Below are 25,222 nucleotides of genomic sequence, written 5' to 3'. Positions count from 1 at the left end.
ACTCTTCCACATAATTTCAAGGCACAATGATTTGACTTTACATCCTAGTGAAATATACCTTCAAAAGAAAAAGTTAAAAAATATATATTAAATTTCTTATTTTAGTAATCATTTTGTTGATGCTAGTATTGGTATTATGACTTGACTGAATCAGCGATAAAACAAACAATTATGTTGGTGTTTTGATAACTGGAAAGAAACAGATAAGACAGAAGAGGGTAATTAGAAATTCTGTGGTCTTTAATTTAAGTTTGACTATCAGTATGAACTCAAGATATATCTATTTTTTAAAAAAATACATATTTCCTAGCCTTCTCCGCTGAAAAGTTAGAAACAATGACCAACCCAATAAAAGTGAGCAGCCTTAGTGCTCAGTCTCCGAATTCCATTTCTACATCCCAGTGGGAGGTTAGACACCTGCTCATTCCAAGTCCAGAGCAGGAGATGGAGAGGATGAACCTGGAGCATCAGATCATGCCAGAAAGCAAATGAGCTACTACAAAATACTAGAGTTTTGTCTGAAGCATTCCAGAGCCAGCTTGAATAGGCTCCCACTGGACAAAGCTGGGATAATCTGAGTACCAATTATCTGGTGCAAAAGGCCTTGCGTTTGTCCTATGAGAAATACTGCAATGGATTGAAAAACTTCAAATATCTCTAAATCTATGAGTCATAGGGATATGTACAAACAAACAAAAAACCTTTCTAATCACCTTTAGTGGATACTAGGGAGCCAACTCATTATTTTTGAAACTGGTAAATACGGGAGAAAGAATCAAGTGTTCTGTCTTGCCTTTTGTATGTGAACATTACTCAGAGTAACCAAGTTGTTGTTGGGGGCAGTTTCTCCTCATAGAGTATTTCTGCTAGTAAACAAAGACAGAATGCTACCAAGATGCTGTTGAGAGTATACAACCCATGTCTGAAAAATTCTTGCAAACAAAAAACAGAACCCTGAATTTGATCAGGGCTTTAGTTCTAACGACTAATTTACAGGAAAGAGAACAGACAAAGGAGTATGTTAAATTACACCATGGGGATTCATTCAGCAAACAACAGACTGTGGGAAACTGTGCAGAACAAATGACTCACTTTTTTCCAACAAATTGCAAGGGAAAAAAGTGAAAGGGGAAATCTATTGGTTAAAAAGGACTTAAGAAACATATTAATCAATTGCAGTATATAAAACTCGTTTAGGTTGTGGTTCAAACAAACTGGGGGATAAAAAACATTTATAGGACATTTGAGGGAATGTGAACACTACTTTGATATTAAAAAATTGTTGGCCAGGCGTGGTCAACAAATGTCTTTTATAGAGAGATGGGACAACCCTGTCTCTATAAAAAATACAAAAATTAGCCAAGTGTCATAATGTGCGCCTGTAGCCCCAGCTACTTGGAAGGCTGAGGTAGGAGGATTGCTTGAGCCAGGGAGGCAGAGGTTGCAGTGAGCCAAGATTGTGCCACTGCACTCCAGCCTAGAAAACAGAGCCAGACCTTGTCTCAAAAAAAAAAAAAATTACTGTTGACTGTGTGTGTGTGTGTGTGTGTGTGTGTGTGTGTGTGTGTGAGAGAGAGAGAGAGAGAGGTGGTCTTATTGTTTGTTTAAGGCAAGTCTCTTGTTTTAAAGATATTAATATATGTTGAGATCAAGCATGGTGGCTCATGCGTGTAATTCCAGGACTTCAGGAGTCCAGGGTGGGAGTATTGCTTGAGCTCAGGAGTTTGAGGCCAGCCTGGACAACAAAGTGAGAGCCTGTCTCTACAAAAAATTTTTAAAAAAGAAAAATGAGCCAGGTGTGGTGGTGTGCACCTGTCCTCCCAGCTATTGGGAGGCTGAGACAGGAGGATTGCTTGAGCCCAGGAGTTCAAGGCTGCAGTGAGCCATGATCACACCACTGCACTCCAGCAGTAGTGTGATCTCAGCGACAGAACAAGACCCTGTCTCTACAACAGCAAACAAAAAAAAAGATACAGGTTGAAATATTTAACAGTTGAAATGATATACTTTCTAGGATTTGCTTCAAAATAATCTAGAGGGAATGAGGTATGGAACATTGTGGAGGGGAAAAAAATCAGTCATGAGAATTGTTGAAGCTTGGAGTATATGAGAGTTTGTTATATTATTCTCTCACAACTTTTGTATAAGTTGTTAATATTTTATTATGGGAAAATTAGAAAAAGTCAGAAACTGGCCTTATAAGAATGGCTCAAAAAAAATAAAAAACCTCAGTAACATATCTAGTCTATTATTTTTTCATAGTCAAGTTTACCACTCTTTTTTTTAGTAACTTCTTATTTTAATTTTAGATTTGTAGAAAAATTGCAAAGATAGTACAGATAATTCCCATGTACCCCTGTGTTAGTCCATTTTCATGCTGCTTATAAAGGCATACCCAAGATTGGGAAGAAAAAGAGGTGTAATTGGACTTAAACAGTTCCACATGGCTGGGGAGGACTCAGAATCATGGTGGCTGGCGAAAGGCACTTCTTACATGGTGGCAGCAAGTGAAAATGAGAAAGAAGCAAAAGCAGAAACCCCTGATAAGCCCATCAGATCTCATGAGACTTATTCACTGTCATGAGAATAGTATGGGAAAGACTGGCCCCATGATTCAATTACCTCCCCCTGGGTTCTTCCCACAACACGTGGGAGTTCTGGGAGATACAATTCAAGTTGAGATTTGGGTGGGGACAGAGCCAAACCATATAATTCCACCTTTGGCCCCTCCAAATCTCACGTCCTCACATTTCAAAACCAATCATGCCTTCCCAGCAGTCCCCCAAAGTCTTAACTCATTTCAGCATTAATCCCAAAAGTCCACAGTCCAAAGTCTCCTCTGAGACAAGGCAAGTCCCTTTCACCTGTAAGCCTGCAAAATCAAAAGCGAGATAGTTACTTCCTAGATACAATGGGGTTACAGGTATTGGGTAAATACAGCCGTTCCAAATGAGAGAAATGTGCCAAAACAAAGGGATTACAGTGCCCATGCAAGTCCGAAATCCAGTGGGGCAATCAAATTTTAAAACTCCAAAATGATCCCCTTTGACTCCAGGTCTCACATTCAGGCCACACTGATGCGAGAGGTGGATTCCTATGGTCTTGGGAGGCTCCAGCCCTGTTGCTTTGCAGGGTACAGCCTCCCTCCTAGCTTCTTTCATAGGCTGGCATTGAGTGTCTGTGGCTTTTCCAGGTGCATGGTGCAAGCTGTCGGTGGATCTACCATTCTGGGGTCTGGAGGACGGTGGTCCTCTTCCCACAACTCCGCTAGGCAGTGCCCCAGTAGGGACTCTGTGTGGGGGCTCCGACCCCACATTTCCCTTCTGCACTGCCCTAGCAGAGGTTCTCCATGAGGGCCCCACTCCTGCAGCAAACTTTTGCCTGGACACCCAGGCATTTCCTTACATCTTCTGAAATCTAGGCAGAGGTTCCCAAACCTCCATTCTTGACTTCTGTGCACCACAGGCTCAACATTACTTGGAAGCTGCCAAAGCCTGGGGCTTCCACCCTCTGAATTCACAGCCCAAGCTGTATGTCGGCCCCTTTCAGCCACTGCTGGAGTGGCTGGGACATGGGGCACCAAGTCCCTAGGCTGCACACAGCATGGAGGCCATGGACCTAGCCCACAAACCACTTTTTACCCCTAGGCCTCTGGGCCTGTGATGGGAGGGACAGCCATGAAGACCTCTGACATGCTCTGGAGACATTTTCCCCATTGTCTTGGGGATTGACATTTGGCTCCTTGTTACTTATGCAAATTTCTGCAGCCGGCTTGGATTTCTCCTCAGAAAATGAAATTTTCTTTTCTTTTGCATTGTCAGGCTACAGATTTTCCAAACTTTTATGCTCCGCTTACCTTATAAAACTGAATGCCTTTCACAGCACCCAAGTCACCTCTTGAATGCTTTGCTCCTTAGAAATTTCTTCCACCAGATACTCTCAATGATCTCTCTCAAGTTCAAAGTTCCACAGATCTCTAGCGCAAGGAAAAAATGCCACCAGTCTCTTTGCTAAAGCATAACAAGAGTCACCTTTGCTCCAGTTCCCAACAAGTTCCTCATGTCCATCTGAGACCACCTCAGCCTGGACCTTATTGTTCATATCACCATCAGCATTTTTGTCAAAGCCATTCAGCAAGTCTCTAGGAAGTCCCAAACTTTCTTACATTTTCCTGTCTTCTTCTGAGCCCTCCAAACTGTTCCAACCTTTGCCTGTTACTCATTTCCAAAGTTGCTTCCACATTTTCTTCTATCTTTTCAGCCACGCCCCACTCTACTGGTACCAATTTACTGTATTAGTCTGTTTTCACTCTACTGATAAAGACATACCCAAGACTGGAAAGAAAAAGAGGTTTAATTGGACTTACAGTTCCACATGGGTGGGGAGGCCTCAGAATCATGGTGGGAGGCGAAAGACACTTCCTTCTTTTTTTTTTTTTTTTTTTTTGAGACAGAGTCTTGCTCTGTCGCCCAGGCTGGAGAGCAGTGGCACAATCTTGGCTCACTGTAACCCCCACCTCCCAGGTTCAAGCGATTCTCCTGCCTCAGCCTCCTGAGTAGCTAGGATTACAGGCATGCACCACCACGCCTGGCTAATTTTTTTGTATCTTTAGTAGAGATGGGGTTTCACCGTGTTGGCCAGGCTTGTCTCAAACTCCTAACCTCATGATCCGCCCACCTCAGCTTCCCAAAGTGCTGGGATTACAGGCGTGAGCCATCGCGCCTGGCCTGAAAGGCACTTCTTAACATGGTGGTAGCAAGAGAAAATGAGGAAGAAGCAAAAGTGGAAACCCCTGATAAGCCCATCAGAGACTTATTCACTATCAGGAGAATAGTATGGGAAAGACGGGCCCCCATGATTCAATTACCTCCCCCTAGGTCCCTCCCACAACATGTGGGAATTCTGGGAGATACAATTCAAGTTGAGACTTGGGTGGGGACACAGCCAAACCATATCAACACCTCACCCAATTTCTTTCATTATTTTATTTCTTACATTACCATGCTGCATTTGTAAAAGCTAAGAAACCAACATTGATACATTACTGTCAATGAAACACCAGACTTTATTTGAATTTTACCAGTTTTTCTATTACAGTCCCCTTTCTGTTCCAGAATCTCATCTGGGGTACCACATTGCATTGAATGATCATGCCACCTTAGTCTTTGGTCTGTGACAGTTCCTCCGCCTTTCCTTATTTTTTATGACCTTTGCATAAGTCTTGAGTACTGGCTAGGTATCCAATCTGGGTTTGTCTGTTGTTTTTCTCATGACTAGACTGGGGTTATGGGTATTGGGAAAGAATACCACAGAGATGAAGTACCCTTATCGCATTACATCAGTGGGTGCATGCTATCAACACGATACCACTGATAATATGAACCTTCTTGGCTTGGTTGAGGTATTATTGCATTGGCTAGTTTTCTCTAGTATCATGTTGCTAGTTTTCTCTACTATAATGTTAATATTTTTCCCTTTCCCTGTTCTATTCTTTGAAAGCAAGTTACTAAGTATAACCCACCCTCATTTTGGGCAGGGAGGGTGGTTTTGCTCTATTTTCTGGAATGGAGATGTTTTCGGGGTTCCTAAAACCACCTGCAAGTTCAGTGATTCACTAGAAGAACTCACAGGAGTCAGTATATGGCCATACTTGTGGCAAGCTCTTTTATGGCAAAAGAATACAAAGCAGTGTCAGCAAAGGGAAAAGGTGCTTGGGAAGCAGTCTGGAGGAACCCAGGTAGAAGCTTCCAAGAGTCGTCCCCCAGTGGAGTCACACAGGATGCACTGAATTCCCCTTGTGACAAGTTGTGACAACACATGTAAAGTGTAATCTTACAGGGAAGCTTGCCTGAGCCTAGGAGTCCAGGGGTTTTATTGGGGGCTGGTCAAGGAGGCATCCTCTGCCTAGCACATACAGCATTTTCAGACTTCCAGAAGGAAAGAGGTATTCAACATTAATCACATTGTTTGTGTAAACCAGGGGTGTCCAGTCTTTTTGCTTCCCTGATCTACAATGGAAGAAGAAGAATTGTGTTGGGCCACACATAAAATAGACTAACAGTAACAATAGCTGATGAGCTAAAAAAGAAAAAAAATCACAAAAAAATCTCATAATGTTTTAAGGAAGTTTTATAATTTGTGTTGGGCTGCATTCAAAGCCGTCTTGGGCTGCTTGCAGCCCGTCTGCCGTGGGTTGGACAAGCTTGGTGTAAACCATTTAGGCACAGTGAACCACTTTTATAATTTATGGAAGGGTTTTATACCAACGGAGGAAACTGTTTACTAGTCAAGTTTCCAGCCCCCAGCCAGGGCCAACCTTATGAGGAGGCCTTTCTAATGATAATAGCCTCAGGCCTTCAGTGTTCTTTTCTATATAGGGAAGTATCTACATATTACTTTTACTACCCATTTTTATTTTGAGAAAAGAAAGGGAATCAGATAAAAAATATAGCACATAATAACAGAAGCTATATGATAGTTAGAATGACAAAATGAAATTTAAGATCAGATCGGAGTGTTTAATTTCCTTCTAATAAAATATGTGGCAATCTGGACCATTTTTCTGGTTCTTTTAGTATTTCTCTTGCCAATTTTTTAACATTGCTATAAAAATATTGCTCATATTGCAACTTTTGGAGCATTTCATAATTTTAAAAATGCCTCTGGGTTATGAGGCATTTATTGCCAAATAATTAGAAGAAAGCTGCATAAATTTTCAGTAATAAGTCATAACCTAACAACCAAAACCTGGGTGGATATCTTAGAAAGTAATTACTAAGATTTAGGCCGGGCGCGGTGGCTCACGCCTGTAATCCCAGCACTTTGGGAGGCCGAGGCGGGTGGATCACGAGGTCAGGAGATAGAGACCATCCTGGCTAACACGGTGAAACCCCGTCTCTATTAAATATATACAAAATTAGCCGGGGGTAGTGGCGGGCGCCTGTATTCCCAGCTACTCGGCAGGCTGAGGCAGGAGAATGACGGGAACCCAGCGGGCGGAGCTTGCAGTGAGCAGAGAGAGCGCCACCGCACTCCAGTCTGGGCGACAGGGCGAGACTGCATCTCAAAAAAAAAGAAAGAAAGAAAGAAAGTAATTACTAAGATTTAAGACACAATATGGCCGGGCGCAGTGGCTCACGATTATAATCCCAGCACTTTGGGAGGCCGAGGTGGGCGGATCACAAGGTCAGGAGATCGAGACCATCCTAGCTAACACAGTGAAACCCCATCTCTACTAAAAACACAAAAAATTAGCTGGATGTGATGGCGGGAGCCTGTAGTCCCAGCTACTTGGGAGGCTGAGGCAGGAGACTCACTTGAACCCAGGAGGCGGAGGTTGCAGTGAGCTGAGATCACACCACCGCACTCCAGTCTGGGCGACAGAGCGAGACTCCATTTCAAAAAAAAAAAAAAAAAAGGAAAAGACACCATATTTATTAGTCATCTACTTTCTTTTAATAGGAAAAACGTGGTCTTCGAGAAATGCGAGTTCTTGAAAATTTGAAGAACATGATCCATGAAACAAATGAACATACTCTTCCCAAATGTAGAGACACAATGCGGGACAGCCTCAGCCAGGTTCTCCAGAGATGTGAGTCAGCAATTCTTTTTTAATTGCTTTTCATTTCAAATGAATGCTACACCAAAATGTATTTTCTTGGGTATTATGGGGGGAGGTGGAGAGGGAGAGGGAAGCTCAGTTACAGAGAAAGTGGTTTTCTAGTGATTAATGTGTGTTGCCATTAATTAATCTCCAAACAGCATTAATCTCCAAAGTGAGATGTGTGCATCTGTGGTACACGAGACAATCTGTTTAGTATGTGAGAAAGTCAAAACAGTTTTCACCTATTTTTACAAATTTTTTTTTTTTTTTGGAGGCACAGTCTCACTCTGTGTCCCAGGCTGGAGTGCAGTGGTGCAATCTCAGCTCACTACAACCTCGGCCTCCCAGATTCAAGTGGTTCTTGTGCCTCAGCCTCCTGAGTAGCTGAGACTACAGGTGCGTCTCACCATGCCTGGCTAATTTTTGTATTTTTAGTAGAGATGGGGTTTCACCATGTTGGCCAAGGTGGTCTTGATCTCTTGACTCGTGATCCACCTGCCTCGGCCTCCCAAGTGCTGGGATTACAGGCGTGAGCCACTGTGCCCAGCCAGGAATCTCGGTTCTTGACTACAATCTGTGTTCCTATTTTTGGCTGCTACTTTTCAAAGTTTATAGTATGCAATTATAATTCTTTACTGTTTAGTAAATGGTGAAGTTTTTTTACTTTTAAAAAACTATTTATTTTGAGAGGCATTTAAAGGACTAAGTTTGTGTGATTTTACTTCATTCTGCCATCTTTACCTAGAAATCTTTAAGAACAGACTGTAATTAAAAATACAAACGAATTTATATAGCACTTTACTAGTTAGAATTTTCACCTGTATTTTTTCATTTTTTTAATCATAACCCAGTAAGATAAATGTTTATCATCTTCCCCACCTTACAGTTGAGAAAACCGAAATTTATAATGGTTGAACACTCTAGATTCTCCAATAATAATTGGAGGAACTACCATCCAAGCCTAGCTCTTCTGCCTCCAGAGCTCAAGTTCCACTTCAGGATGTTACTTCTGTATATCTTTGAAAAGGTAGTAAGAAAAGTCTGCCTTTATTCCTGGATTATCACTTTTTCTTGGATTGCCTCCTACAACACAGGCTCCTCCTTCTCAGTCTACTTTGTTAGTTCCCACTTAACTTCACGACTTTTCACCATGTGGTGCTCGGAGGCTTGGTTCCGCAACTGCTTTCTTGTTTAAACTCGCTTGGTGAGCTTATACAGAATCACGCCTTTCAATATCATCTGTATACCAATTAATAATTAAATTCCATATTTGTGGTTTTAGCCTGGTCCCATACCCCTGTCTTCCCAACTAAAATTTGAGTCCTGTAAGCTCAGGACTTTTGTTGTTGTTGTTCACTGTGGTATCTCAGGCACCTAGAACAGTGCCTGCTACTTTATAGCCACTCACTAGTAATTTGTTCATTGAAATGAATGAGTGAGCATTCGGCCAAAATCTGTTCCTAATGCCAAGCTGAAATTATTTTCTTTTTTTTTTTAAAGCTAATACTACATTGACTTAGCTTTTTAAAAATAACTTTACTTTTGTATTATTGTATAATGTACGTATTTTGGGGGTACTTATGGTAATTTAATGCTTTCATATAATTTGGAAAGACCAAATTAGTGTAATTCACATATTCATCACCTTAAATATTTGTCCTTTCTTTTTGTTAAAAACATTCAAATTATTCTCTTCTAGCTATTTTGAATTATATAATAGGTTATTGTAAGCTATAGTCACCCTACTGATATATCAAATACTAGGTCTTATTTCTTCCATCAGACCATATATTTATATCCATTAATCAACCTTTCCTCATGCCCTCCTCCTCACTATACTTCCTGGCCTCTGGTAACTACCAGTCTACTCTCTATATTCATGAGATCCATTTCTTTAGCTCTCACATACGAGTGAGAGCATGCAATATTTGTCTTTCTGTGCTTGGCTTATTTCACTTAACATAATAACATCTAGTTCTGTCCATGTGGCTGCAGATGATGGGATTTCATTCATTTTTATGGCTGAATAATATTCCATTGTGTATATATACCACATTTCCTTACCCATTCATGGGAATTTAGGTTGGTTCCATATTTTGGCTAGTGCTTCAATAAACACGTAAGTGCAGATGTCTCTCTCCTTTTCTTTTAGATATATACCCAGTATTGTGGAATTGCTGGATCATATGGTAGTTCTATTTTTAGTTTTTTGAGGAACCTCCAAACTGTTCTCCATAGTGGTTGTACTAATTTATATTCTGACCAATAGTATACGAGAGTTCCCTTTTCTCCACATCCTCGCCAGTATCCATTATTCTTCATCTTTTTAATAAAAGCCATTTTGGCTGGGTGTGGTGGCCCACGCCTGTAATCCCAGCACTTTGGGAGGCCGAGGCGGGTGGATCATGAGGTCAGGAGATCAAGACCATCCTGGCTAACACAGTGAAACCCTGTCTCTACTAAAAATACAAAGAAGTAGCCAGGCATGGTGGCGGGTGCCTGTAGTCCCAGCTACTCAGGAGGCTGAGGCAGGAGAATGGCGTGAACCCGGGAGACAGAGCTTGCAGTGAGCCAAGATAGCGCCACGGCACTCCAGCCTGGGCAACAGAGTGAGACTCCGTCAATAATTAATTAATTAATTAATTAAAAGCCATTTTAACTAGAGATGCTATTTCATTGTGGTCTGATTTGCATTTCTCTGATAATTAGTGATCTTGGGCACTTTTTTCATATTCCTGTTGGCCATTTTATGTCTTTTGAGAAATGTCTCTTTTGAAATAGATCTTTGCCTATTTTTAAAATTGGATTCTTTGGGATTTTTGCTATATTGTTGTTTGAGCTCCTTATATATTCTGGTTATTAATCTGTTGTCAGATGAATAGTTTGCTAATGCTTTCTCCTCCTGTGGGTTGTCTCTTCAACTTGCTGATTATTTTCTTTGCGTCACGGAAGCGTTTTAGCTTGATGTAACCCCATTTGTCTGTTTTTGCTTTGGTTGCCTTACTTTTGAGGTCTTACAGAAAAAAGTCTTTGCCCAGACCAATGTCCTGGAGTGTTTCCCCCTAGGCTTTCTTCTAGTAATTTCACAGTTTCAGGTCTTAGATTTAAGTCTTTAATCCATTTTTATTTGATTTTTGTGGATGGTGAGAGACAGAGGTTTAGTTTCATTCTTCTTCATATGGATATCCAGTTTTCCCAGTCATACTGATATCCAGTTTTCCCAGCACTGGTTATCGAAGAGCCTGTCCTTTCCCCATTGTATGTTCTTGGTGCCTTTGTTGAAAATGAGCTGGCTATAAATGTGTGAGTTTATATCTGGGTTATTGATTCTGTGCCATGCATGGCCTGTGTGTTTTTATGCTGGTATCATGCTGATTTGGTTACTATAGCTTTGTATTAATAATATGCTTTGTAATCAGGTAGTGTGATGCCTCCAGCTTTGTTCTTTTTGCTCAAAATTGCTTTGGCTATTCAGGGTCTTTCGTGATTCTGTATAAATTTTAGGATTTATTTTTCCTGTTTCTATGAAAAATGTCGTTGGTATTTTGATAGGGATTGCATTGAGCCTGTAAATTGCTTTGGGTATTATTGTCACTTTAATGGCATTCTTCCAGTTACAGAGCATGGATATCTTTCCATTTTTGTGTGCCCTCTTCAATTTTTTTCATCAAAGTTTTATAGTTTTCCTTGTATAGATCTTTTACTTCTTTGGTTCAGTTGATTGCTAGGTATTTTATGTTCTTTGTAGCTATTGTAAATAGGGTTGCTTTCTTGGTTTCTTTTTCAGATTGCTTGCTGTTGGCATATATAAATGCTATGGATTTTGTATGTTGATTTTGTATCCTGCAACTTTACTGAATACATTTATTAGTTCCAAGAGCTTTTTGGTGAGTCAATAGGTTTTTCTAAATATAAGATCATGTGATCTGCAAACAAAGCTAATTTGACTTAATACCTTTCCAATTCGTGTGCCCTTATTTCTTGCCTAATTGCCCTGGCAGTACTTTCAGTATTATGTTGAATAAAAGTGGTGAATGTGAGCATCCTTTTCTTGTTCTGGATCTTATAGGAAAGGCTCTCAATTTTTCCTCATTCAGTATGATGTTAGCTGTGGGTTTGCCCACAGCTATTTTGAGCTATGTTCTTTTTATACCCAGTTTGTTGAGAGTTTTTATCATAAAGGAAAGTTGGATTTTATCAAATGCTTTTTTAGCATCTGTTGAGGTTACCATATGGGTTATTTATAGATTTGCATATGTTGAACCATCCTGCCATTCCTGGGATAAATCCTGCTTGATCATGGTGAATGATCTTTTTAACATGTTGTTGAATTTGGTTTGCTACTATTTTGTTGAGGATTTTTGCCTTTACATTCATTAGTGATATTGCCTGTAGTTTTCTCTTTTTTAATTCTTTTGTCTTTGTCTGATTTTGATATTGAGGTAATGCTGGCCTTGTAGAATGAGTTGGGGATATTCTCTCCTCTTCAGGTTTTTTGAAGAACTTGAGTAGAATTGGTGTTAATTCTTCTTTAAATGTTTGCTGGAATTCAGCAAAGAAGCCATTAAGTCCTGGGCTTTTCTTCGATAGGAGACTTTATCATGGCTTCAACCTTGTTATTCATTATTAGTTTGTTGAGGCTTTCTGTTCCCTCATGGTTTGTACTTGGTAGCTTGTATGTATTTAGGAATTTATTTCTTCTAGGTTTTCCAATTTGTTGGCGTATAGTTGTTGATAATAGTTTAATGACTCTGATGTTTTTAGCCTCAATTTTATTTATTTCTGCTCTGGTCTCTATTATTTCTTTCCTTCTCCTAATTTTTTGTTCCTTGTTAGGTTGTTTATTTGAAGTCTTTCTATTTTTCTGATACAGGCTTTTGCTGCTATAAATTTCCCTGTTGGTACTGTTTTTGCTGTATCCCATAGATTTGGGTATGTTGTATTTTCATTTTATTTGTTTCAAGAAATTTTTAAATTTCCTTCTTAATTTCTTCCCTGACTCATTGGTTGTTCAGGAGCATGTTGTGTGTGTGTATTTTCCAAGTTTCCTCTTGTTACTGATTTTTAATTTTATTCCATTATGGTCAGAAAATATACCTGATAATGATCTCTATCTTTTCTGAATTTGTTAAGACTTGTTTTGTGGCCTAAGATATGATCTGTTCCAGAGAATGTTCTGTGTGCTGATGAAAAGAACGTGTAACCTGCTGCAGTTGGATGAAGGTTCTGTAAGTGTCATTAAGGCCTGGTCGAGTTTGTAGTTGAACTCTCCAATGTTTCTCTGTTGATTTTCTGTCTGGATGATCTGTCCATTACTAAGAATGGGATGTTGAAGTCTCCTGCGGCTATTGCATTCTATCTCTCCCTTTAGATCTATTAATGTTTCCTGTATGTACTTGGGAGTTCCAGTGTTAAGTACATAGATATTTATAATTGTTACAACCCTCTTGCTGAATTGACCCCTGTATGATTATATAGTGACCTTCTTTGTCTCTTTTTGCAGTCTTTGATTTGTAGTCTGTTTTATTTGATGTAAGTATAGTTACTCCTGCTCTTTTTGGTCTCCAGTTGCATGGAATATCTTTTTCTGGTTGCGTGGAAATGTAAGACCCAACTAACATTTACTGAACATTTCACCCAACTGCTGCAGAATACACGTTCTTTTCATTAGCACATAGAACTTGCATGTCTTTATAGGTGAAGTGCCTTTCTCGTAGGCAGTATAGAGGTGGGTCTTATTTATTCAGCCACTCTATGCCTTTTTTTTAAAAAAAAAAAAAAGATTTTTATTCCTTTTTGAAAATTTTAATAGGCTTTTGGGGAACAGTGGTGTCTGGGTATATGGATAAGTTCTTAAGTGGTGATTTCTGAGATTTTGGTGTACACTGTACCCAATGTGTAGTCTTTTATCCTTTACCTCCCTCCTATCCTTCCCCCTGAGTCCCCAAAGTTCACTGTATTATTATTATGCTTTTGTGTCCTCATAGCTTAGCTCCCACTTATAAGCGAGAACATAACGACGTTTGGTTTTCTATTCCTGAGTTACTTTACTTAGAATAATGGTCTGTAATTCCATCCAGGTTGCTGTGAATGTCATTATTTCATTCCTTTTTATGGCTGAATAGTATTCCATGGTGTGTGTGTATATGTGTATGTGTGTGTGTGTGTGTATGCATATGTGTATATATATGTATATATCACATTTTCTTTATCCACTTGTTGATTGATGGGCATTTGGGCTGGTTCCATATTTTTGCAGTTGAGAATTGTGCTGCTGTAAACATGCATGTGCAAGTGTCTTTTTCATATAATGACTTCTTTTCCTCTGGGTAGATACCCAGTAGTGGGATTGCTGGATCAAATGGTAGATCTACTGTTAGTTCTTTAAGGAATCTCCACACTGTCTTCCACAGTGGTTGTACTAGTTTACATTCCCACCAGCAGTGTAAAAGCGTTCCCCTTTCACCACATCCACACCAACATCAATTCTTTTTTTATTATTATTATACTTTAAGTTCTAGGGTACATGTGCACAACATGCAGGTTTGATACATAGGTATATATGTGCCATGTTGGTTTGCTGTACCCATCAACTCATTTACGTTAGGTATTTCTCCTAATGCTATCCCTTCCCCAGCCCTCCACCCGCCGACAGGCCCCAGCATGTGATGTTCCCTGCCCTGTGTCCAAGGGGGCTCATTGTCAATTCCCACCTATTAGTGAGAACATGCAGTGTTTGGTTTTCTGTCCTTGTGATAGTTTGCTGAGAATGATGGTTTCCAGCTTCATCCATGCCCCTGCAAAGGACATAAACTCATCCTTTTTTATGGCTGCATAGTATTCCATAGTGTATATGTGCCACATTTTCTTAATCCAGTCTATCATTGATGGACATTTGGGTTGGTTCCAAGTCTTTGCTATTGTGAATAGTGCTGCAATAAACATACGTGTGCATATGTCTTTATAGTAGCATGATTTATAATCCTTTGGGTACATACCCAGTAATGGGATTGCTGGGTCAAATGGTAATTCTAGTTCTAGATCCTTGAGGAATCACCACACTGTCTTCCACAATGGTTGAACCAATTTACACTCCCACGAACAGTGTAAAAGCGATCCTGTTTCTCCACATCCTTTCCAGCGTCTGTTGTTTCCTGACTTTTTAATGATTGCCATTCTAACTGGTGTGAGATGGCATCTCATTGTGGTTTTGATTTGCATTTCTTTGATGACCAGTGACGATGAGCATTTTTTCATGTGTCTGTTGGCTGCACAGATGTCTTCTTTTGAGAAGTGTCTGTTCATATCCTTTGCCCACTTTTTGATGGCGTTGTTTGTTTTTCTCTTGTAAATTTTTTTGAGTTCTTTGTAGATTCTGGATATTAGCCTTTTGTCAGATGGGTAGATTGCAAAAATTTTCTCCCATTCTGTAGGTTGCCTGTTCACTCTGATGGTAGTTTCTTTTGCTGTGCAGAAGCTCTTTAGTTTAATTAGATCCCATTTGTCTATTTTGGCTTTTGTTGCCATTGCTTTTGGTGTTTTAGCCATGAAGTCCTTGTCCATGCCTATGTCCTGAATGGTATTGCCTAGGTTTTCTTCTAGGGTTTTTATGGTTTTAGGTCTAACGTTTAAGTCTTTAATCCATCTTGAATTAATTTTTGTATAAGGTGTAAGGAAGGGATCCAGTTTCAGCTTCCTACATATGGCTAGCCAGTTTTCCCAGCACCATTTATTAAATAGGGAATCCTTTCCATATTGCTTGTTTTTTTCAGGTTTGTCAAAGATCAGATGGTTGTAGATGTGTGGCATTATTTCTGAGGCGTCTGTCCTGTTCCATTGGTCTGTATATCTGTTTTGGTACCAGTACCATGCTGTTTTGGTTACTGTAGCCTTGTAGTATAGTTTTAAGTCAGGTAGCTTGATAGCTCCAGCTTTGTTCTTTTTGCTTAGGATTGTCTTGGCAATGCAGGCTCTTTTTTGGTTCCATATGAAGTTTAAAGTAGTTTTTTCCAGTTCTGTGAAGAAGGTCATTGGTAGCTTAATGGTGATAGCATTGAATCTATAAATTACCTTGGGCAGTATGGCCATTTTCACGATATTGATTCTTCCTATCCATGAGCATGGAGTATTCTTCCATTTGTTTGTGTCTTCTTTTATTTTGGCAAGCAGTGGTTTGTAGTTCTCCTTGAAGAGGTCCTTCACATCCCTTATACGTTGGATTCCTAGGTATTTTATTCTCTTTGTAGCAATTGTGAATGGGAGTTCACTCATGATTTGGCTCTCTGTTTGTCTGTTAATGCTGTATAGGAATGCTTGTGATTTTTGTACATTGATTTTGTATCCTGAGACTTTGCTGAAGTTGCTTATCAGCTTAAGGAGATTTTGGGCTGAGACGATGGGGTTTTCTAAATATACAATCATGTCATCTGCAAACAGGGACAATTTGACTTCCTGTTTTCCTAATTGAATACCCTTTATTTCTTTCTCGTGCCTGATTGCCCTGACCAGAACTTTCAACACTACATTGAATAGGAGTGGTGAGAGAGGGCGTCCTTGTCTTGTGCCCGTTTTCAAAGGGAATGCTTCCAGTTTTTGCCCATTCAGTATGATACTGGCTGTGAGTTTGTCATAAATAGCTCTTATTATTTTGAGATACATTCCATCAATTTTTTTTTAAATTTTTTAAATTATGGCCATTCTTGCAGGAGTAAGGTCTTATCGAATTCTGGTTTTGCTTTGCATATCCCTAAAATTATTGATATTGAGCATTTTTCATATGTTTGTTGGCCATTTGTATATCTTCTTTTGAGAATTGTCTATTCACATCCTTAGCCCATTTTTGATGGCATTGTTTTTCTCTTGCTGATTTGTTTGAATTCTTTGTAGACTCTGCATATTAGTCTTTTGTGGGATGCATAGTTTGCGAAGATTTTCTCCCACCCTGTGTGTTGTCTGTTTGCTGATTATTTCTTTTGCTGTGCAGAAGCTTTTTAGTTTAATTGAGTCCCATCTATTTGTCTTTGTTTTTGTTGTATTTGCTTTTGGGTTCTTGGTCATGAAGTCTCTGCTCGAGCCAATGTCTAGAAGGGTTTTTCCAATGTCATCTTCTAGAACTCTTATGGTTTTAGGTCTTAGATTTATGTCTTTGATCCATCTTGAGTTGATTTTTACATAAGGTGAGAGATGAGGATCCAGTTTCATTCTTCTACATGTGGCATGCCAATTATTCCAGCAACATTGGTTGAATAGGGTGTCCTTTCTCTAGTTTATGTTTTTGTTGGCTTTGTCAAATATCAGTTGGCTGTAAGTATTTGGCTTTCTTTTTGGGTTCTCTATTCTGTTCCATTGGTCTATGCGCCTATTTTTATGCCAGTTCCATGCTGTTTTGGTGACTATAGCCTTGTAGTGTAGTTTGAAGTCAGGTAGTGTGATGACCTCAGGTTAGTTATTTTTGCTTAATCTTGCTTTGGCTATGTGGGCTCTTTTTTGGTACCATCTGAATTTTAGAATTTTTTTTTCTAGTGCTGTGAATATTGATAATGGTATTTTGATGGGAATTGCATTGAATTTGTAGATTGCTTTTGGCATTATGGACATTTCACAATATTTATTCTACCCATCCATGAGCATGGGATGTATTTCCATATGTGTCGTCTGTGATTTCTTTCAGTCATGTTTTGTAGTTTTCCTTGTAGAGGTCTTTCACCTCCTTGGTTAGGCCCAAGTATTTTGCTTTTTTTGCAGCTATTCTAAAAGGGGTTGAGCTCTTTAATTTGATTCTCAGCTTGGTTTCTATTGGTGTATAGCAGTGCTCCTGATTTGTGTACATTGATTTTGTATCCTGAAACTTTCTGAATTCATTTACCAGTTATAGGAGCTTTTTGGATGAGTCTTAAGGGTTTTTTAGGTATACGATAATATCATCAGTGACTAGTGACAATTTTACTTCCTCTTTACCGATTTGGATGCCCTTTATTTCTTTCTGTTGTCTGACTGCTCTGGCTAGAACTTCCAGTACTATGTTGAATAGAAATGGTGAAAGTAGGTATTCTTGTCTTGTTCCGGTTCTCAGGGAGAGTGCTTTCAAGTTTTCCCATTCAGTATAATGTTGGCTGTGGGTTTGTCGTAGATGGCTTTTACTACCTTAGGGTATGTCCCTTCTATACCGGTTTTGCTGAGGATTTTAATCATAAAGTGATGCTGGATTTTGTCAGTTGCCTTTTCTGAGTGTATTGAGATGATCATGTGATTTTTTTTTTTTGACTGTTGGTCTGTTGCTCAGGCTGGAGTGCAGTGGCGTGATCTTGGCTCACTGCAACCTCTGTCTTCTGGGTTCAAGCCATTCTCCTGCCTCAGCCTCCGGACTAGCTGGGATTACAGGCGCCTGCCACAATACCCAGCTAATTTTTCTATTTTTAGTAGAAAGGGGGTTTCACCATGTTGTTCAGGCTGGTCTCGAACTCCTGACGTCAAGTGATCCACCCGCCTTGGCATCCCAAAGTGTTGGGATTACAGGAGTGAGCCACTGTACCTGGCCTTTCTTGAGCTCACTGACTCTCCTCTGCTTGATTCATTCTACTGTTGAGAGTCTGTAATGGATTTTTCAGTTCAGCAAATGTATTTCCCAGTTCCAAGATTTCTGTTTGATTTTTAAAAATTATTTTAATCTGGCCAGGCGTGGTGGCTCACGCCTGTAATCCCAGCACTTTGGGAGGCCGAGGTGGGTGGATCACGAGGTCAGGAGTTCAAGACCAGCCTGACCAACATGGTAAAACCCTGTCTCTATTAAGAATACAAAAATTAGCCGGGCGTGGTGGTGCATGCCTGTAGTCCCATCTACTCAGGAGGCTGAGGCAGGAGAATCGCTTGAACCCAGGAGGCAGGGGTTGTGGTATGCCGAGATTGTGCCACTGCACTGCAGCTTGGGCAACAGAGTGAGACCCCATCTCAAAAGAAAAAAAATTGTTCTAATCTCTTTGTTAAATTTCTGAATTTTTTTTCTGTGTTATCCTGGAGATCACTGAGTTTCCTTAGAACTGCTATTTTGCATTGTTGGTCAGAGAGTTCATATATTGCCATCTCACTGAGGTCATTCACTGACTGGTTCTTTGCTTTGTCTGTTTAGGGAGGTCTTCATTCCTTGTTTGCTGTTGTTTCTTGTGGATGTACATCTGCGTCTTGGCATTGAAGCATTAGTTATTTATTCCCATCTCCTCTGTCTTGTTTCTGTTTTTATTGGATACATTTGCTTAGAGAGTCTTTGTATTTTACCTGCAGATTTCTTTTTTTCTTTCACTAGATCACTGCTTCTTTTCAGCACTAGACTGCACCTTAAACCCAAGTCTGCCTTAGTTCTAGTAAACGATCAGAATGCCACTCATCTTGAATGGGGGAGGTCCGCAAAGGGATATCTCGTTAGTGTGGGAAGGCTGGCTAGGCAGCCTCTGTTCCCAGGGGACCTGGGGAACGAACCTCGTGCAGTGTGGTGGTGCTGAGTAGCCACTTTGATTTGGTGTCTCCTTTGGCTGAGTTACAGAGCAGAGTTTCTGAAAGACTGGGGGTGGAAGTGGCACCTCTCTCCTTTTTTTCTGGCTGTCCTTGAGGATATGTCTGCCCTCGGGTATCACAAATGCTTTCCATGGGTTAAGGCAGGGACACTTCTCCTGCCAGGGAGCCCAAGATGATGGGGAAGCAGATCATCCAGCATGATCCCTCTTTTAGCATAGAAACCATGAGTCAGGGAGATTTCCCATGTGCTTGGTGCCAAGGCAGGTTGGGGAAGGAATGTTACAGAGATGGAAGTCCAATTCTGTTCCTGTCTCCTCAGAGTGTTTTCATTTCTCTGTGGCCCTGAGAACTGTCTTATCCTCATGTTTGAGTTCTGGGGTATTGCCGGCACTGTATACCTGATTTTGGTTTTCTGTTGTGGAGAGTGAAGCTAGCTCGCTTCTATATCCGCATTTTGGAACTGCAAGTTGTGAAATTATTTTCTTACGTGTGTATTTGAGGTTTACTTATAGACACCATGATAGAATGAATTTGTTTCTTTTTTATGTGAGGAAAATAGAACATTGTTAACTGTGGTATGCGGCACAAATCTACTTGAATAATCTTTTGGTTAAGAGAAAAAGCACTTGATAAATTCTTGACTTTTTTTTTTAAGTCAATATAGTCTCCTAAAACACTGAGATAACAGGGGAAATGACTTCGTACTGAGTTACAACCAGTAAGTGTTGCAGATGTGATAGGAAGGTTCAGAGAAATGGGCCTTCTTGGTGTCACTAATTGTTCAAAAAGGGAATGTTTGGTGCAGTCTGGTGATTGTCTTTGACTTTAGAAAAGCAAATTTCATAAATTCAGAAAGTAAACCTTTTCCGTTGTGTGCCTAAAGAGTTAAAAGGTGAATTGCTTCAAAGGGACTGTAATTTCTAAAAGTGGATATTCTGTCTAAACATAACAATCCTGATGAGGAACAAAAGTGCACCTTTGTCAGATGTGTTCTGATTAGAATTTTAAAGGACATAACAGATGACAAAGTAAGTGGCAGAAGCCTGTAACTCTTTTTTTAGGTTAGGCTCAGAATCTTCTGAAAGTGATGAAGCTCCTAACAACTGCCAAATGGATTTTAAGTTATGTTCTCAGAGCCAGTGGGGGAAAAAAACAACGCAGGAAATGATAGAAGCACTGCTTGGGAAAGATGATGTCATGTTAATATGCCACAGAAAGAAGGCAGAGCTAATCAACTCCTGTTTTTTTTTTTTTAAATATTTTCTTTTTTAAAAATCAATGATTGGGAACCTAATTTTCAATACTTAAATATTATCTTTGATATAGCTAAAATTAATGGTTACTGATAAAAACACAACTTTTTGAAAACAAAATTCTTCTCTTTTACCATATTCCCAGAGGGAGAGGCCTAACATTTCTCTGAAAGAGAAATCACAGTCCCTGCCCTATTGTGGAACTTGTGACCTAGTTGGGGCCGGATTGGGGTGGGGTAGGAAGACATAATTGTAAAACAATTAGACAAACCTCCAATTTCAGCAAAGGCAAGATATTAATAAATGGTAGGATACACACACACCTGATTAAGGAATTTCAAATAGGGAAAATCCTCAGAGGGAAGGGACTAATCAGGAGGGCTTTGTGAAGACAGTAAACCTTGAACTGGGCTTTTGAAACAAAACAGTTTAATTAGTGGAAAGAAATAAGGAAAGGATTTTCTTTAGGGATAGTACAATAAATAGAATATTGGTGACAATGAGCAGTTCTTGATTGCTTATTGTATTTTTTTTTTTTTTTTTGAGATGGAGTCTCGCTCTGTTGCCCAGGCTGGAGTGCAGTGGCACGATCTTGGCTCACTGCACCAGGTTCGAGCGATTGTCTTGGCTCAGCCTCCCGAGTAGCTGGGACTACAGGCATGTGCCACTATTCCCAGCTAATTTTTGTATTTTTAGTAGAGACAGAGTTTCACCATGTTGGTCAGGCTAGTCTCGAACTCCTGACTTCAGGTGATCTGCCCGCCACGGCCTCCCAGAGTGCTGGGATTACAGGCGTGAGCCACCGTGCCCGGCCTGACTGCTTATTTTATATGAAGAACTACTCTAAGTGGTTATCATTATTAATATTGAAATGATTTACTTTTAAGCATAGTATGTACTGTGTTCTCATTTAAATTTTATGTCACTTCTGAAGCCCTGTTATTAGTTGTTATGTTCATTTTACAGATGAGGAACTAAGTTGCTGAGAGATAGGAGGACCAACAAGAACAGTGCCTGGCACAAAGCACATGCTCAGTAAACATTTGTCAAATGAATAATTGAGCGAGCAAACATGCCCAAGATCATTCACACAACTGAGTGCCAAATTTGACTAAGGCTCACTCTTAACCTGCACACTACATGTCTTTATTTGGATAAAGTAAGTAAGAACATTTATGAACAGAAAATGCATCTGGCGGTGAAAAGGTTTAAATAACTGAAGAATTACAACTGGTTTCATTGATGAAATAATTAAAGAGGCGGTAGAGTGTTGATAGTAAGAGCCAAGTCTTTACAGCCAGAAAGATCTGACTTCAAATCCTGTTTCCTGTACTTATTAGTTTTATAACCTCCTTGATTGACAGCGTCACCTCTCTGTACCTCAGTTTTGTCATCTGTAAAATGGAATAGTGATCATTTCCTGATAGGAAAGTGGGATTAAGAGGGATAATACATAGATCTTGGCACTTAGTAAATAATAAATAATTACAATAATTATTACTAGCAGTTCTTAAGAAAGAGAAATGACTTAATGGAGATGGTCCAGAGGAAGTTGAATCTTGCACTGGCAGCCAGGATAAATTAGAAGTCAAGAGAGCACAGGCAAGAATAGTAGAAAGTTGTTGAAGTGATGTGGTTACCAGGTACTGCAGTGAGAGAGCTGTAGACAATCTGTCATTGGAGTTAGTATTTAAATGCCCTTCAGCTTGTAGCTCAAAGCTCAAGAATTATGGTTGTTCTAATTATGACATCCTGAATATATTGGCAAAACTTATTTTCCCCTTCTGGCCATCCCACCACCACCAAAATAATATCAGTTCTTTGCATAGTTTTTTGAGATCTAAAACAATTCATGTACTCTCCACACACACTCCTCCCCCAGGTATGTGTTTCCTTGAACATGGTCTGCTGACTGAAAACCCATGTCTTTTTCATTTCAGTGCAAGCAGCTAATGACTCAGTCTGTAGACTCCAACAGAGGGAACAGGAACGAAAAAAGGTAAAAGATCATTTAGATAATGAGGCATATAATTCTTGCATCTTTATTATCATATTATTAGCAATTGCTTTTGATCAGAAAATTCTCTGAATGCAGTGAGTTTTACATATTTTAAAATGGCTGATTCATTGAAGATGTGTTGAGGAGGTGTGGTCATACCATCAATATTTTTATAATTGAAATTGCAGAACTCTCTTTTTTCCTTTTCAACATTTCCATCTTTTCCCTGAAAGTGGTATTTGTCTCCTGGAGGAGAGAGAAATTAGGACTTTTACATGGAACAACAAATAACCACCAGATTGGAGATATAAATCTTTCCTCTGAGCCTGAAGTATTGAGTATATTCTGTATATTTCTTCTAGAAAGGGAAGCATTCATGCCTGTGTAGGTTATTTAATGAATAGCCATAGGAGTATTTGAATCATTTGCTGGGCAGTGCTTTGCTTATTTGAATTATATGTTAACTAAATTCAGATGTGGAAAAATAGCACAAGAATTTAAGTTCCTGTGATAATTTGGTGGTATTCACTTGCAATTTTCATAAAGTGTTTTTGTAACTTATTCATTGCTCTAAACTAATGAATATACATCTTACACTTATTAAGAAACATTGAAAAGACTAAGTCACTGAAAATAATGCCCTTTTGCTTGTATGTGTGTGTATCGACAAATGTTACTGTCTCCATTTATCTGGAATGTGTTGTGGTTAATCCACAATAATAGTTCACATCTGTCACTGTATAAAAATATAATGGAATGAACCTTCTCAGAGTTTCAGTTTCTGTACCCTCTGCTCAAATCTAAATGTTGATGTAAATTTTGAAAATTCAACAATGTGATAATTGAAAGGACTTGACATTTAAGACAGATGGGAATGCTGCCCAAGGATAGTGGGACCCCGCAGGCCAGTCAGGAAGCAGGGCCACAGCTGAGCTCCTGGATGAAGTGGCAAGGCAGAGCTGTGGTCAGGGAAGTTTGTGTCAGGATGGGGTGCTTGCACAGCGTGCAGAGAGTGCTGGAAAGGCAGGCAGGGCTGGGGACGTAAGTGGACCATGCCAGGCTGGACAGCAGATATATTTTTAATTCCTCTACTTTGCTAGGTGCCACAGGGGATGATCGATTTTGTTAACTTTAGGGCTGTTCCTACACTTAAGGAGCTAAAAGTCTTGGAGTCCCAAAGCACTAACACTATAATAATAGAGGATAAAGTAAGAACTATGATCATTACTAAGAACTTTTTGGGATCTTGGCAAATAAAGTGTAATTTATTAGGAAGATAATGGCATTCAAGCCTGACCTTGAGCAGAAGGAACTTAAATTATAATTTGAAGAGTTTCTCTTGTCACTTTGAAGTATTTCTACATGTGGTGTATTAGCCCTGTGTATAGTAGGAAGATGACCAGATTGGGTAAGAAATACCTGGCTTCTTTTATGTCTGGTGTTGCTTCCCTGTACTAGCTAGCTATAAGCCCTTGGACAAATCCTTGAGCTTCCAGCTCCTCGTTTGCAAACTAATGATCTATTCTACTTATCTGATAGATTGATGGGTAAATTGCATTATAAAAATTATTTGAAATGACTTTGAAAATTGTTATCTTACTATCAAAATGTAGGGCAGCATTTTTTTCCTGCCAGCTCACTGTTTGTTTAAGATGCGAGCGGTCACCGTGTGGGTAAGATCCCTGCTGTAGTCTGTTAGAGTCTGTGAAGCACTTGAGAATCCTTCCCATTGATGATTTTGCAAATTGAAAAGTGCTGTCTGTCCCATGGTTTAAAAAGCAGTGGCCACAAGAAATAAGAATATTTTAATATTTAATATGAAGTACATTTCTTTTTTTTTTTTTTTTTTTTTGAGATGGAGTCTCACTCCGTCACCCAGGCTGGAGGGCAGTGGTGCAGTGGCTCACTGCAATCGCTGCCTCCCAGGTTCAAGCTATTCTCCTGCCTCAGCTTCCCAAGTAGCTGGGATTACACCTATAATCCTAGCTAATTTTTGTATTTTTAGTAGAGACAGGGATTTGCCATGTTGGCCAGGCTGGTCTCGAACTCCTGACCTCGGATGATCCACCCGCCTCGGCCTCCCAAAGTGCTGGGATTACAGGCGTGAGCCACTGTGTCTGGCCTGAAGGACATTTCTTATAGATATTATGTCTGGGGATATTTTCAAACTAATTTTTATAGAATATATATTAAAAATTAGTATTTTAAAATATACTGAAATGTTGTTTCACCAGAAGTTGGTAAGTCTGTGAGACTTAAGTTTGTAAGCAGACTTAGATTTGTTACCCTAATTTTCTTTTCTGAAGATAATTTAATAAATTAACCAACTTAAAGTCATAAACAGATCCACTTCTCTGCTCAAAGTAAAAATTCTTTACATTCTTATTGGAGCAATAAACTTTTAGTCCTGTCTTTATTTCTTTTTTCTTTTTCTTTTTCTGTTTTACTGCCATATGTAGCTTCTTCTGAATCTGTGACATGGCAGAGGTTTCAAACCCCACACATACACATGTGCACATATACACATGTGCACATATACACATGTGCACGCACACACACGTATGTCATAAAGGTAAAGTTTAATTTCTCATCTAGCCAATGTAAACAAAGCAAAAGACCTGACCTGTAGCTGCATTTTACAACCTAATGTTAATTGTTGCCCTTGGTTATACTATTGCATACATTTTGTATATTTGAAAGGTTCTCAGAACAAAGATGGGAGTAGTAATGAGATAAAATAGACTATTGCCATTACTCATTAATTCTTTTTTTTTTTTGAGATGGAGTCTCACTCCGTCACCCAGGATGGAGTGCAGTGGCACGATCTCAGCTCACTGCAATCTCTGCCTCCCGGGTTCA

At 39.6% G+C, this 25,222-nt stretch overlaps 1 protein-coding gene and 2 long non-coding RNA genes across 5 annotated transcripts in view, besides 1 other annotated feature; all 3 read left to right on the top strand.

Moving 5' to 3' along the window:
- BLOC1S5-TXNDC5 (BLOC1S5-TXNDC5 readthrough (NMD candidate)) overlaps positions 1-25,222 on the top strand; it is a 183,165-nt gene that overhangs the window by 15,685 nt on the left and 142,258 nt on the right. Inside the window, exons 3-4 of the long non-coding RNA NR_037616.1 lie at positions 7,462-7,591; positions 22,305-22,363. This is a non-coding gene — a long non-coding RNA (BLOC1S5-TXNDC5 readthrough (NMD candidate)). The remainder of the gene's footprint in view (positions 1-7,461; positions 7,592-22,304; positions 22,364-25,222) is intronic.
- EEF1E1-BLOC1S5 (EEF1E1-BLOC1S5 readthrough (NMD candidate)) overlaps positions 1-25,222 on the top strand; it is an 89,029-nt gene that overhangs the window by 53,866 nt on the left and 9,941 nt on the right. Inside the window, exons 5-6 of the long non-coding RNA NR_037618.1 lie at positions 7,462-7,591; positions 22,305-22,363. This is a non-coding gene — a long non-coding RNA (EEF1E1-BLOC1S5 readthrough (NMD candidate)). The remainder of the gene's footprint in view (positions 1-7,461; positions 7,592-22,304; positions 22,364-25,222) is intronic.
- Positions 1-25,222, top strand: part of BLOC1S5 (biogenesis of lysosomal organelles complex 1 subunit 5) — a 50,848-nt gene that overhangs the window by 15,685 nt on the left and 9,941 nt on the right. For 2 of the 3 annotated variants that reach the window (NM_001199322.1, NM_201280.3), the window contains 2 exons: positions 7,462-7,591; positions 22,305-22,363. In NM_001199322.1, coding sequence (NP_001186251.1) covers positions 7,462-7,591; positions 22,305-22,363 — 189 coding nt within the window. The remainder of the gene's footprint in view (positions 1-7,461; positions 7,592-22,304; positions 22,364-25,222) is intronic. The other variant, NM_001199323.1, reaches the window with a different exon arrangement.
- Positions 17,427-17,627: a silencer, noted in NCBI's record as "peak5648 fragment used in MPRA reporter construct". NCBI's record gives its function as "represses an SCP1 promoter by STARR-seq MPRAs in K562 erythroleukemia cells {active_cell/tissue: K562}" and the evidence as "EXISTENCE:reporter gene assay evidence [ECO:0000049][PMID:32103011]".

This window comes from Homo sapiens, chromosome 6 (assembly GCF_000001405.40).
Source record: "Homo sapiens chromosome 6, GRCh38.p14 Primary Assembly".
NCBI classification, from domain to species: domain Eukaryota; kingdom Metazoa; phylum Chordata; class Mammalia; order Primates; family Hominidae; genus Homo; species Homo sapiens.
Note: the sequence above shows the minus strand (reverse complement) of the source record. Positions and strands in the feature narration are given on the sequence as shown.